The following is a 12,758-nucleotide window of genomic DNA, read 5'->3' as shown; positions in this document are numbered from 1 at the left end:
CCCACACACACACTTTTTATTCAAACTGGGGTATAGTAGGTTTTTGTAGCTTGTTCTACTAATTATATCTCAAACATTTTATTGTATAATACAATATTCATTAGAAATTTAATTTTAATGGGTGTATAATATGCTATGAAAAGGTAATTTAAAAAAATCCCCACCTGATGGATATGAGTTATTTACAAATTCTGTACATGTATCTTTGCTATAGAATATTTATAATCCCAGTTTAGAACTATTTAATGTTTTCTGTGCTTACTGCTAGTCTAGTTCAGGTTGAGCATCCTTAATCTAAAAATCCAAAATGCGAAATGCTCTAGAATCTGAAACATTTTGAGCACTGACATGATGGCACAAGTGGGGAACTTCATACTCAACCTCATGTGATGGGTCACCATCAAAAAAGTCAAAATTTTGTTTCATGCACAAAATTATTAAAAATTTTGTAAAAAATTACCTTCAGGCTTTGTATTTATGAAACATAAAGGAATTTTGTGTTTAGAGTTGAGTCCCATTTCCAAGGTATCTTATTATGCATATGCAAATATTCCCAAACCCAAAAAATCTAAAACCTGAAACACTTTTGGTCCTAAGAACTTCGAATAAGGGATACTCAACCTATAACAGATTCTAAACTAAGTGGTGAATTTTTAAATGGTAAAATCACTGTGCTCTTTTTAATTAATAAAAAAGATTAGGTAGCTCCCTCTAATTAATTTGGGTAATTGACAAAGCCATATTGCATTCCCTCCCACTCTTCCACAGGCAGTAATGAGGCTCTCCTATGTGCCAGATACTACACCTGGGACTGGGGATCAAAGACAGAAGACCCAACTCGTGCTCTTAAGAAGCCCATAGTCTGCTGGGAAATGGACATTTAAATACAAAATAATACGATAAATAATGGAATGAAGGTACGTATGTGTTGCCTTCTAGAGGGAGAGGAAGATGCCTGGGAATCTGTCTGGGAGCATGGGACAAGTTGAGACTTGGAAAATATAAAGGTCTCTAGAGAAATGAAAGGAAAGAGCAAGAGGAGTGTCTAACATAGTTGCAGAATGGCTGGAGTTTGGTAAGGCTGGAAGCTGAGGGTTAATGAAGGCTGGATGAGGGAGATATGGTGGGGCAATAAAGCTGGACAGGAGCATCCAGCTTGGACCACCTGCACAGCAAGAGTGCTGCTACACATAATGTACTCAATGCATATTGGCAAATAGTCTGGAGTGGCCTTAGACTCTGTTTTTATAACTTTAATACCTTGCTTCACCACTGAGAAAGAGGAACAACTTCCTCATTGAAGCACCTATAGGTAAAATTATTTAAAAAGAAAACAAAACTGAACCAAAGTTGAAGAGTGTGTAGGTTTGACATCTTTCACATTTCTCCATTTGAGGACACTGAGTACTCTTAGCTCACTGTATGGAGTTTAGATACCCAAGGTCCCAGGATCTTTTCTTCCTCCTGTTCAAGTCCTTGCTATGAAAAAAATCTATATATTAAAATTCAGCAAAGCTTGCAGTAATTGTCTCACTTTTAAGATTTATTTTACCATTAAAAACAATTTTTTTTCATTAGTTTAACTTCTGGAAAATATCACTGTAGTTACTTCAACTTTTTTTTGAGACAGAGTTTTACTCTGTCACCCAGGCTGGAGTACAATGGCACGATCTCGGCTCACTGCAACCTCTGCCTCCTGGGTTCAAGTGATCCTTTCACTGCAGCCCCCAAGTAACTGGGACTACAGGCGCACGCCACTGCCCAGATAATTTTTGTATTTTCAGTAGAGATAGGATTTCACCCCGTTGGCTAGGCTGGTCTTGAACTCCTGGCTTCAACTGATCCTCCCACCTCGGCCTCCCAAAGTGCTGGGATTACAGGTTTTCACCTCGTTGGCTAGGCTGGTCTTGAACTCCTGGCCTCAACTGATCCTCCCATCTCGGCCTCCCGAAGTGCTGGGATTACAGGTTTGAGCTACCACACCCAGCCTACTTGAACAAATTCTAAGAAATATTTGTGAACTGAGGAAGACCAGGAAATAATTGAAATGCTACACTGGACAATTGTCTTTAAAAGTATTCAGATCCTTGCTGGATAAAAATACAAATTCCAAGGTTCTTTAATGTTCTAAGAATCATACAAACTGGGACAAAACTGCCAAAGTTGAATCGTGACTCCAGTGTCCTCTCTCCCGTCCTCTGAGGGTTCACTGTTGGCTTCTATACTGGCCTGAGGCTCGGCCACTGAAGACAAAGAGCAGCTTTCATGGGGGATGCTCTTCATCTGCAGCAGGGCTTTCATACCAACAGGAGCTGAGCTCTGAACTTTATTTAGCCATAGCTGCCATATGCCCTCCAGAGGAAATATGGCTGGGAGAATTTCCCCCGTCTGGCTTATTCTTTCCATTGAAAATAACCACCAGGAGGAGCAATTATGCCCTCGTGGTGAAAGACACTGTCTTTTCCCACCTTTTCTCTAAGAGACTGGGCTCAACGTAGACGTTTCCTTTGGAACATTTGCTAAGAAAAGTTATAAGCAAATTGAATCCATAGGCTGGGCCTATTTTTAAAGCTTGTACAGTAGAGAACAGAGTTGGGACTAATATTATCTAGAAATGAAAGGGTAACTGTTGATAATCACTGGATATGAAGGATATACTTAGCAAGTGCTTAGAGCAATGTCCTGGGAAGACTATTTGGATAAGAGAGCCCATCTCATATCATATTCACACTGTAAAAGGTCATCTGACGACGTACACCTCACTTTAAAATGTGAGTAGTATGAAGAGTTTGAAATAGGAAAATGATGGAATGGTGGCATTGCTTTTGCATAGTGTGTGTTATAAATCTCCTCACATGCAGAGAAAGTAATCTCCACCCCTGTGAGGGCTTTCATGGCTTAATAATCATTTAGGAAGGGTCTTGTATTCCACATTTAGACAAGATGCAAATCCTTTTGACTGAGCTGCAGTGAGATAGCAAAGGGAGGTTGGAGGGGCCTTGGAATCACACAGGACTGAGTTCAAATCCCAAGCCCTTACCTGCTGCATGAACCAGGACCTATGATTTTACTAGAGGCTCAACTTCCCCATCTGTAAAATGGGCACAGTGGTACCCACAGGGATGCTATAAAGAGAGTTATTTGTAAGGTACCATTATTATCCTTTTCACTTTAATGAAGTAACTAAATGATGTCCTGTGTACCACTTAAGAGGCAGTTTATCGTAGTGGTCAAGGGGTTTCTGGAACCAGACTGCCTGGGCTCTAGTTCTGGCTCTGTCACTTAATGTGTGACCTTGGGCAAGTAACTTACCTTTGTGGACTCAAGTTACCTAATCTGTCAAACAGGAATAACGTCTACCTCATAAGACTGCTATGAGTTTTGAATCAATTAATCTATATAGAGCAATAGAAGAGCGCCTCGCACACTGTAACCCACAGCAAGTGCTATTTGTTTGTGTTTTTTTCAACTCCAGGAACCTTAATTATTAGGCTAACAGTAGAAAAGTTTGCCGGGACACTGTAGGAATATTATACCTTTTATAATATTAGAAAAAAATAACAATATGGGAAATTATAGCATTGAGGGCTGAATCCAAAAAGTGATTTAAAATCTACTTTCTTTATTCAAAGACAGTACTGAAAAACATGCACATTTTAAAGTATGTTTAATGTATTTGACCCTTTTAGAACAACCAGCAGAAATGTGACACTATGGAATGAAAAATCAAACTTGTTTCAGAGAGCTTTTCTAAGAGCAGCCTCAAGTGCTTTTTATGATATTAGGAACTCTGAATAACTCTAGAGACCATCCACTGCAAGAGGCCAGTGGTTCTTATCTCTGCCAGTCTCAAGAGGAAAAACCGTCCCCTGGTTTGGAGGCTCAGGCCCACCTGAAGTGCCCAGGAAGCTTGGAAAGGCCATTCCAAACCCGATAATATGATTTTTTTTAAAGGCCACTTAATTAGATGCTGCATATCTTCAATTAACCTCAGGGTGTATTATTACAGAATTTAGTCCCCTCTGATGAGTAACAAGGCAACTGGAAACAGCGATGCTCAGCACTTGCACAGGTCCAGGCACTGCAGAGTTTGGCATTATAACACAAGCACAAATATTTAGCCATTTGGAATGACAGGGGATCCAAAGACAGAAAAGCGCTGCTCTTCTGCAGCTACTCCTCGGATCTCGTCCACATAGGACTGGGGTTGGAAAGGTCTGAGTCACAGTGGGCTGTGTTTTATAAACAAATACCCTGGAACTCATCTTAGTTGGGAGACAGGTGAAGTCCCCTTGTGCAGATCTGACTGCAGAGGTAAATTATCTTGAGGAGTCAGTAGTCTTAATAAATCAGGAAACACAATTTTACTCCATTCATTCGCTTCCGTACTACTCATCTCTTGGGATGGTCAATTCTTTTGCTTATTTCAATTCTGAGGAGGAAAAAGTGGTTAAAGGGAAGGGGAGATATGATTCCTCCTATGAAACTTCCCCCAGCCAGTAACATACTGTGTAGGCTGCTCTGAGCAGAATTCACTCCCAACTGCTATCCTGAAAGCCCCATTGAGTCTCCATCCAGAGAGGGAAAGTGAGACCATCACGAAAAAGAGCCATTCCTCCAAAGAGAAGATCACAGTGTCTGAGTTGACCCTGGACTCTGTAGGGAGGGTTAGACAGAGTTGAGGAGGCAGATGTTCCCACAGCTGATGCCTGAAAATGACTTCCCAGGCTTCCATGGCTAAAAAGGCCTATTAAGGCTGCTTCTCCCCTACACAGAGAAAAAGCTCATTCATACTTCCAGGATGTCACTTTGAGAATTCTTTTCTCATTCAGCATGGAATGGGGGTTCTTTATTCCCTTAGATATTCCTGGGGTAGCCCTAACTGGGCTATTCTCATGGTCTTGAGTGAAGTACCAAGGACTCTGGATTTGGTCTTTATAACTGCAGTGCAATTCATAGATGACGATGGAAGGTAGCTCATATTTACTGTCTATCTAATGTGTGTCAGGGACTTCATATTTCTTATTTAAATTTCATAAGAATCTTATAGTATCCTCATTTTATCAGAGGAAAACTGAGTCTCTGAGAGGTTAATTTGTCCAATATAAAAAAAAGAAACATTAAGTGGCAGAGCTAGGACTCAAACCCAGGCGTAACTCCAAAGCTACGCTGTTTGTTCTTGACTTTCCATGGACAAAGTGTTAGAGGCACTGTAATTCTTTCCAACTACTGCAAAATCTATTGTACTTTAATAAGTATGTTAAAGACATACTTCAGTATGTTCAAGGCAGTGGCTTAATTTATGCACACAAATAACTTTAAAGGTAATGACCTGGGCATTTAAATCTCAAATAAAAGGAGAATAATTTATCACGACCACTTTCTAATATATCCCCCTATCTACCCACCATTCTCTCCTGTAGTAAGTTGGAGTGTTATTTCTGTTTCATTTCTTCATCAATTACCTTTTCATAAGATAGTCTGAAATTCATGCCTGTCCTGGTGGGGGACATCAACAGAAACTTTATTTCTTCAGCTGAAGAAATATTCCTGACATATTCCAATCCCTTCTGCAAGATATATGTTCCCTGTGTGCTCGTTGGAGAAGTCAGAATGATGCCCAGACCCAGGAAAGCTTTGGGTTTTGGTGAGAATGAAACGTATAAAACTTGGAGACACTGGTTTCTCCATGTCTCATCAGATGCTGGAGACTGAGGGATGAAATCCCTGGAGTGCACCTACATGCCAATATACCATCAAGTGCAGGCCATTTCAGAGAGCCACAATCAGTTTTTGAAAAGCTGAGTCACCAGCCTTCTTCCCACTTCTCCAATTACAGGAGCCACTGCTAGTGATGTTCGGCATGAGCCTGGAGCACCCAGCTTCCTTGCCTTCAGAGGAGACAGGAGGGATGAGGGAGAGGATGGGGAACTGTACACTCCTGGAATGATACACAATTAGACAGGATGTTCAGGTCCTGAAATGCACAGAGTAGCCCTCTATGGATGCACCATGAATGGGTTCCATGCCTCCTGACTCACTGATGTATTCATTCCTCAAATTTCTACAAAGGGATACAGGAATACACTAAGTGCCCCATGCAGTGCTGTAAAGTCAGAAAAAGACTAAATTTTTTTCCTTTGAGAATGATTAGTTTCTCTTCGAAACAAGGGTCCAATTTGCTTCACCCCAGGGTCTAGGTATGCTTCATACTTCCTTAGCCAATCTTCATGCAGAGCCCTCTCAGGTGTAGCTGGGCTCCAGAGAACATTCTTGGGCTATGGTGGCGAGTTGGTGGGAGATAGGCAGCAGTCAGCAGGAGTGTGAAACAATTTTTACAAGTCAGTCTTGTTAATTCCTTCACAGACTTAATCCTACCACACTCAGGAGCCGCAAAGGTGCATGAGCATAAGGATTCTTTCTTCTCAGATCATTTCTTCAGAGACAGTTTCCTGTGAACCTTATGATATCTGATGATAACCTAAGCTTAAGGTCACTACTTCATAGCCACAGACTCAGTGGCTCCATGATAACACTATGAGAACAAAGGGAAGCTCCACGTTCCATGAAGAATTAGGGAAGGTTAAGTTGGGAGGATGAGAGCACAAGATAAGACTTTCCCTTCACATGACCCCATCATCCTGCCATTTTGAATCCACTTATGTCAGGACCACATTGTCCTCTGGGACACACAGAACATGAACGAAGGCTTTTTTTCATTCTTCCCCCATGGCAGTGATCCAGGATAAATAAGTATACAAATAAATGTTTACAGCATTCCTAAAAGTTTTAAAGTGTTGAAGCTGAATGCAACATGGCTCCTAAAATAACAACAACAAAAAAATCCATATGGACCAACTGAAAATGAAGACCAATTAAAAGAAGCATGTCATTGGGACCTGAGCTGACTTCATCATTGGCATGAGGCAATTAGGTTGTAACTAGAAAGCTAAGGGAAGGAAGAAAATGCGATAAGTTATGTAGCTACCAGTTACAGAAGAAAATATACAGGTTTGTCCTGTAGAGGTAAACTTTTCCTTTGTACTGGATTTGAGGAAGAATGTGTGTCATGGTTACTTATGTAACGGGCACACGGCACAATGCTTACGTAAGGGATTTCTATAAGGGACGCGACGTCTCCAATTGCAGTTTTGCAAAAGATACAGAAAATACACGCTTTGGACAACAGACAGGAGAGGTAGGGCTCTTCTTCTTGATGAAAGCCTGAGAGTTAATCTCGCGTTTTTCACCCAGGCAGAAGTCAAGACATTCCTCCACAGGCACGGGCCATGGACATGCTTGGGAAAAGCATCAATTATTTATCTAAAAAAAGGAAGCCCTGAATTCGTTTAAAAAGGTTAGCACCTATTGTGTGTTAGGCATGGATCCAGACATTTTATAAATTGTATTATGAAGCAACAGGCTGTGTTGACAAGATTATGGACTTGTAGTCAGGTCTGGATCCTTCCTAGTGTGACTTTGAATAAATTACTGAACCATCTTTATGCTTCTGTTTACACGTTTGTCACATGAGGTCAATATTTTCTACCTTAAGGGCTCCCTGTGAGGATAAAATAAGAGAAAAATGAGAAAGTATGTAACTCACTGCTCAGTGAATAAATGCTGAGTCTCTGTTCATATAATCCTAACGATTCCGTACAATAAGGCTCATACAGATACAATGAGCTTGAGAGAAGTGATCTGCACTAGACCATGTAGCTAGGAACTGTCTGAGTAATGGTATAAATGAGTCTTATTTTAATCTGATACTCTTTTCCACCTAACCGTTTAATTAGTTGAGACTCTTGAGTCTGTATCATTTCAAATGGAAGTGGTCATTTCAGCTTGAATAATTTGAGCCTCCATCATTTCCAGTGAGATTATGAGCCAAAGCTTTAGCAAGGTACTCACCTGACCAAAGGTGAAGTCCATCAAAGCCATAGGAGTACAGGTCGTCACCAACACCATTGCCTCCCCATCCTTCTCCACCTCCTGGGTATGGGGCATAGCCTGAAGAAGAGGCCCAGCCCACCCGCAGATGTGTGGGCTCTGCTGTTAGGAAGGGGTCCACCTGGTCGATAATCAGCTCGAAGTACCACTTCTTGTACTGGGCTGAGCCCTCCGCGACTCCCAGGAAGATGTTTGGCCGGATACTGAAAGTAAACATGGGCAAGTGGCATCTACACACCCTTAAAAGCTGAGAAAGCAAGTTGAACCAGACCATAGGAGGCAACGGCCCATTTACACGTAGGACAAGAGCAATGCTGTGTATTTCATATTGCTCAAAAGATGGGAGGGATCTCTAAAAGCCAGGAGTCTGGGATCAGCCTGGGTAACAAAGAGAGACCCTGTTTCTACAAAAATTAGCTGGGTATGGTGGTGCACACCTATAGTCCAAGCTACTTGCGAGGGTGAGGTTGGAGAACTGCTTGAGCCTAGCAGTTCAAGGCTGCAGTGAGCCATGATTATGCCACCGCACTCCAGCCTGGGCAGCAGAGTGAGACCTTGTCTCCAAAAAAAAAAAAAAAAAAAAAAAAAAAAAGACTAGAAAAAGCTTAGGACCCTCAACACTTGATCAAGTTCTTAGTGTGATGCAAGAGGACAACATTTTCATTACAAAACATAAAGGATGTTTCTTTTAATATTCCATTCAAGGCAACCAACGTTTACTGAGTGCCAACCATGGGCAACGATGCTGAAATGTTATACAGATTTGTAAGATTACAAACCTTTGTTTTTTAAGTTAAAAAAAATTTACTTGAGTTCCATTTTTTGGTCAATTGGTATAAGCACCCTTATTTTCAGTATAGCAGCTTTGTTACCGAAGCATTATTAATAACACTGGTCTCTTAAAACCATTAAGAAGTCATTACTAGGCAACCTCATTAAGGGAAAGAGGTTTTAATGTATCCAGCAAAGTGGTTAAAAGCTTAAGATACACCACTTAGAGTTTTTATGTTAGGAATCATACTTTTAGAGACGAACTGTTCTTGGGCTGGAGCTATGCCCTATTTTGGGTAGGCAAAGAAAAACCAGGCTGGCACCATGAAGAAAGTAAGTCTGTGTGACAGCTCAGGTCTTTGGGCCACTCTGCACTTCAGAGGGAAGATTCTATTCTTGCCATTGTGGATTAGTGTGTAGGCCTAGGTAGAAAGTGGCTACAAAACCGCAGACCTGCCTAGTCCCAGTCCAGTGAGTTCACATGACTCACGTGCAGCCACATGCATGGACTAGCAAGCTAGGGGTCCTGCATGGGACCCTGCTCTTCACCCTGATCCTCACAGACAGCAGTCAGATACATGGCCATGAGCCAGAGGATGCAAGAAGCCACAGTCTCACTTGGGACATCCATTCTATGAAAAGATTACAGAAAAAAAGTTGGTATATAAAAATAAATATGAATATATTATGAAGTTATAAGAGTTGCATTACTGTTTAAAAGAAAACACGGTAGGCCACCTCAGGTCAAATTCTTTAGCACTCAGATGCTACACATACTCTATCCTCAGCTACTTAAACAGAAAAGCTTGAGGAATTCTGCTAAAGGTGTTGGAGGCCCTAGTCATAGGAAATGCACATTTGCTTGGTCTTGTCTTATGTACTTGTATCACCATGGAAACAATGGGTGGGCAACTTTGGAGTTCAGATGAGCCCTCTTTTCCTGCTTGGGGACAAGACAGGCAGAACTATGCTTGGCATTTGGAATGGTGGTGGTGGCCTTACCTGGTTACATCGTTAATCAGTCGTGTCTGCAGGAGTAGGTTTCTCCGGGGCAGCAAGTTGTCACAGATCAGATTCTGGTTGGCTCTCACTGCAACCCCATTGCAGAGACAGAGGGAGCACAGGATATCCAGAACCTGCAGCAGGACACACCCACCAAACCTTAGGACCACCAGGAGGGCACAGCAGGCAGGACCACCACAATGCATGAGGGAAGGAGTCCATAAAGGGTGGGGGCTAGGTGACGGGTAGAGAGCCAGCTCAGAGCCAAGGAAGCTTTGCCTCTTACCCAGAAGGAGCGAGTGATGCCTCAGAGCCTACTGCTTCTTGGGAAAATGAGTCTGGACTTCTTTCTAGCCCCTCTGTTGTAGTCTTATGCCCCTTCCCTCCAAACGATGCAAACCATCGGTGGCCATTGCTCTATTACAGTAAGTAAGAGGCTGTGCTCTGAAGACAGACTGTCTAAGACAATATCCTAGCTAGGCCAGGACTAAGGTGTGGCGAGGCATCTAGGGCCCAAAATCCAGGCCCTGCTCACTGTCTGAGCTCTGAAAACACAGAGCAGAAGGATAAAAGACCCTCTGTGGACTTCAAACTCAAGCAGCACACTCTCACCCAGCCCTGATGGTGCTTGGCACTGAGTATTAGCGGAGGTCTTAACAAAATTTTAAGGCCTTAAATAAAATATTACAGGTCTTAATAAAAAGGCACGTAAGATTCCCATTTGGCTAAGGTCTTGCACGTAGCAAGCTTGGGAATCTCCTGTAGGTGGGGTGATGGTAGGGCAGACTCCTGTTCTTCGGTCTTTTGCTGTGGTATCATCAAAACTCATGAAGATACCCTTTAATTTCTGGAGATTGGTATTCTAAATATTTTACCCGCTCTCCTTCTCCCATCTAGAAGGAGAACAAACTTTCAAGATCCCAGGTGGCCCATGAATCTAAGACATTAAACTGCTTTTGCCCCTTATTCCCACTTCCTAGGCAGCTGCAAAACAGTCTCTGTCTGCCTTGTCCTGCACGCTCACCTCTCCTCTGTCCTCTCCTTGCACTGTATCCTCTTTCATTCAGATTTTCTTTGTTCCTATCATGGCAAAGCGAACTGTGCCGGGCCAGTCAGGCTCTCTTCCTCCTGCTCTCCTTCACAGAGAGGAATGCGCAAACAGCAGTCGACAAATAACAGCCACGATATGGCAGGTTGCGCCAACAGAGAGGCAGGCAGCCTCATTTCAGTCTTTCAAAGTGGCCACTGAAGACTCAATGCTTAGTGGGGTTTGATAGCTTCAAGGTGTTCATGGCATTTGTATCCATAATTCTCACAAACCAATTTTCTACTTGACTCCCTGAATGACAGTTTTGTTCCAGATAAATACAAAGCACATTTACGGGACAAGCAGAAAAGAATCCCAAATGCAGTTTTATGGGGGACTCTTACCATTAGCACTCTATGAAAGACATCAACTGTGGAAACTTGAAATCCAGAGGCTAATTTCTCACCCTAAGAAAAGAGCCATAGATGGCCAGGAAATGAAATACTTTTCAGTCGGCCTATTACACATTTCATCTGTTTTGCCTTGGAGTGATGGCTGTGGGAGACTTGCTGTCACAGCCAGAGGGAAAGCAGGGCTTAATCCACATACAGTAGGAACAGCAAAGAGAAAAAGGCTCTGTAAAAAGCACACAGCCTAACAGAGCAGTGCATCATCTATAAATAAATGATGCTACTTAAAGAATCAGAGTTGACATTGTTTAGGTTTTGCTTTAGGAGACACTCCTTCAGGTAAAACTGGGGAATGGAGATAAACTTCCTTTTCTAAAATAGTTCAAATGGGTTTGTGAAAGGAAAATACCTTGGGCCCCCAAAATCACTAAGGAAAACTCAAGCTGGAAACTGCTTAGGACAAACCTGCCTCCCGTTCTATTCAGTCACTCCTCTGCTCACTGAGATAGATGCATATCTGATTTGCCTCCTTTGGAAAGGCTAATCAGAAACTCAGAAGAATGTAACCATTTGTATATCACCTATCTGTAACCTGGAAGTTCCCTGTCCGCTTCCAGTCTTCCTGTTTTGGCTTCAAGTTATCCTGCCTTTCCAGACTGAACCAGTGTACTTCTTATATATATTGAGTGATGTCTCCCTAAATGTCTAAAACCAAGCTGTGCTCAGACCACCTTAGGCACGTGTCGTCAGGATTTAATGAGGCTGTGTCACGAGCGTGTCCTCAACCTTGGCAAAATAAACTTTCTAAATTAACTAAGACCTGTCTCAGATTTTCTGGGTTCACATTTTGGTAACCACAGGGGGGATCCTGAGTGGAGGTGCCCCTGACCTTTGACAAATCTCCTATCGGTGCTTGGTACCAGCATGAGCTAACTTATGGCTTAAACCAATAGGACAATTTGCTGAGGTCTGAGAGTACTCCCTCCAGAGAATCCCTAATCTCCCAAAACTTCAGGTTGAGATCTAAAGTCTGTTTTGCTGTACAACTCCTTTTTTTTTTGGAGACGGAGTCTCGCTCTGTCTCCCAGGCTGGAGTTCGGTGGCTCGATCTCTGCTCACTGTAAGCTCTGTCTCCTGGGTTCCCGCCATTCTCCTGCCTCAGTCTCCCAAGTAGCTGGGACTACAGGCACCTGCCACCACGCCTGGCTAATTTTTTTGTATTTTTTAGTAGAGACAGGGTTTCACCGTGTTAGCCAGGATGGTCTCGATCTCCTGACCTTGTGATCCACCCGCCTCAGCCTCCCAAAGTGCTGGGATTACAGGCGTGAGCCACTGCACCCAGCCAACTCCTATTTTTTTTTTTAGTTTTACTTGCTTCCAACAGGAAGGCAAGTTTTCCTGCTTCCATGATGATGGAAGGCAGGTAACTCCTTTATGGAGTTTGAGCTTGCTTCCAACAGGGAAGATGAGTTTTTTTTTTTTGTCCTGCTTCTAGGCTGGCAGACAGCAGTCTATAGCCTAAGACCCATCACTAGGTAAGAAACTGGTTTGGGATTCTGTCTTGCAAATTCCTTTTAAACGACTAAAGTTAGCATTTA

At 42.5% G+C, this 12,758-nt stretch overlaps 1 protein-coding gene across 20 annotated transcripts in view; it reads right to left on the bottom strand.

Annotated features, from left to right (window-relative positions):
• The window catches only part of RYR3 (ryanodine receptor 3), a 555,136-nt gene that overhangs the window by 254,827 nt on the left and 287,551 nt on the right, over nt 1-12,758 (bottom strand). For all 20 annotated transcript variants that reach the window (XR_001751370.2, XR_001751371.3, NM_001036.6 and 17 more), the window contains 2 exons: nt 9,724-9,857; nt 7,912-8,153 (listed from right to left, as the gene is read on the bottom strand). Coding sequence is in view for 18 of the 20 variants with exons in the window: in NM_001036.6 (NP_001027.3) it covers nt 7,912-8,153; nt 9,724-9,857 (376 nt within the window). In the remaining 2 variants the exon portion in view is untranslated. The remainder of the gene's footprint in view (nt 1-7,911; nt 8,154-9,723; nt 9,858-12,758) is intronic.

The sequence above is a fragment of the Homo sapiens genome, chromosome 15, assembly GCF_000001405.40.
Source record: "Homo sapiens chromosome 15, GRCh38.p14 Primary Assembly".
Taxonomy (NCBI): domain Eukaryota; kingdom Metazoa; phylum Chordata; class Mammalia; order Primates; family Hominidae; genus Homo; species Homo sapiens.
The sequence above is the reverse complement of the archived record's forward strand: the minus strand, read 5'-3'. Positions and strand labels throughout refer to the sequence as shown.